The sequence below is a fragment of the Homo sapiens genome, chromosome 10, assembly GCF_000001405.40.
Source record: "Homo sapiens chromosome 10, GRCh38.p14 Primary Assembly".
Lineage (NCBI taxonomy): Eukaryota > Metazoa > Chordata > Mammalia > Primates > Hominidae > Homo > Homo sapiens.
The window spans coordinates 31,583,072-31,585,142 of record NC_000010.11 but is presented as its reverse complement, the minus strand read 5'-3'; the positions used below and the strand labels follow the sequence as shown (position 1 = coordinate 31,585,142).

General features: G+C 54.7%; 1 annotated feature.

Annotated features, from left to right (window-relative positions):
- Positions 212-712: an enhancer, noted in NCBI's record as "H3K4me1 hESC enhancer chr10:31873359-31873859 (GRCh37/hg19 assembly coordinates)". NCBI's record gives its function as "activates a minimal SCP1, AML or CMV promoter by ChIP-STARR-seq in primed H9 embryonic stem cells {active_cell/tissue: H9 hESC(primed)}" and the evidence as "EXISTENCE:reporter gene assay evidence [ECO:0000049][PMID:30033119]".

Here is a 2,071-nt window from a genome sequence, read left to right as displayed (position 1 = left end):
ACGTCAAGATTTCCAGGAACACTTTTCTTGGTTTAGCAGCCCAGAAAGTGCTTTATCCTCTGCTTCAGAGAGGGAAACAATGACGGCATCTTTCTCTTCGCTGCCTAAGCAGCAGATAAAATCACAGTGCCTGTTTCATGGGCCAGGCCTGCCCTAGGGGAAGGCTGGAATGAAGATTAATTGCGGTGAAGAGAATGGACATGAACTCAACTCATCACAGCCCAGCAAGGGGCCAGGATTTGGGGAGGCAGCACCTGGCCACAGCCCCATGAGCAGAAGGAACAGCGCCTCCCACCCTGACTCACAGAACCTTTCATCCATGCCTAAATGCACAGCTCCCCATTGTTCAGGCAGGGAAACCGAGGCTCAGGTTGCTGCAGGCCTCTCCCAAGTTCACTGGGGAACGTTGGGGCAGAGTCTGGAGCCTCGGACCCCCATTCCCAATGCCATCGCTGGCGGTCTTGCAACTGGCCGGCATCAGCGGGCTTTTTAGCTTGGGTTGGCCTCTGCTTTTTCCAGTTTGCAGCCTGGGGAAGGTGACAGGGTGGTCACACAGGCTTGTCGTGTGTGGCTGTGCACAGGTGGGGGCAGGGATAGAGCAGAGTGGCCTCACAGGGGTGAGGTCTGCAGGAGCAGGAGGCCACAGCTGGGGGTGTGGCGGCAGGAAGTCAGGGAGGCTCCATCCTGCTCCTCCTCTTCCTCCTCGGTCTTCTCAGCTTGTTGGGCATGCCCAGCAGACGGGCAGCTTCTGGTGATAAAGATTAAGCACCTCCCAGCTGGTCAAGGCAGGGAGGGAGTGGGCATTTCCTGACCGTGTTATTCCCGCCCCCCGCCCCAGCCTTATCTCTGCTTTGATTAGGGGTGGAGAACTGAAACCCTCCAGCCAATGAATGACGGCAGGTTTGAGCAATGAGCTTGGAACTGACTGGCTCCCCATCCTGGCTTCCCCTCCACTGCTGGGCGTGTTCTGTTGCTCCTTCACATCAACACAGGGCTCATCCCCACCTGTGGGATGCGGGAGCTGTGTGGGAAGGTCGGGGGCGGGGGGCTTGTTCCCCGACTCTCCCAGCAAGCAAAGGAGAGGACACTGGGGCAGGCTGGCTAGTTCTTTGCATGGCGTCGTGTTTTGATGTTGGGGTATTGGCGTGGGGTGGAATATTCCACTGCCCAGGTTTCCACCTCCTGGAAGGATGCACCGCCACTACCCATCCCCCACAAACCCTCTCTTCCCACCACATGCATACGATTGCATCTGGGGCAGTAAGCTGACCATTGCCCAAGCAATTTTACCGACAGCGAACAGAGAAAATAACCCACACAGTTGGAGAGAGAAGGGCATTTTCTTACAGCTCTAAAGATTCTGGGCATCTCGTGTCTTTCAGTGAAATAACTGCTGTCGTTGTCCACAGACAAATCAGTTATTAACTCGGAATAACTCCAATTTAGGAAGCTGCCTTCCTCACTTGGATCTGTTGGCTCTGTCACTATGGTGACTGGGAAGGTTCTCAGCTTTTTGCAGCCCGGGTGTGGAGGTGAGCGCAACCCACCCTGCAGAGCCAGGACAGGGAGCGAGCGAGCCCCAGCACAGGCCCTGCATCTCACCTTTTTATCAGCAAGTGGCTCTTCCTGCGAGGGGACACCTCATTCCTATCCACCTCCCCCTTGTTACTCAGGAGCTTATATTTAGCTGCTGTTTTGCTCACATTTGGGGAAATGCTGACTTCATGCTCTTCAGGGTGGAGACAGAGGCCAAAAGCTGTTGGATGTTTTGCCCGGCAACTCAGAAAGCTGTTGCATCCCAGGATATTTCTGAATTTAGAAAAGGAAACAAAATCCTCCAGGATAGCCCTGGACTGTTCTAGGGCAAGAGCAGCAGCTAGCTTGTCCTTTTGGATAATCAGATTATGAGCCCCCTGAGGGGCAGCGACTGTGTTCACTTAGTTACTGAATCCCCAGCACCTATGCAGGGCGTGGCTCAGAGACAGTGCTAGATAAATTTTACTGGGCAAATGCAGAGAGACCCTGGGCTCACAGAGAGGCCATGGGCCAGGAATGACTGCACCCAGGAACC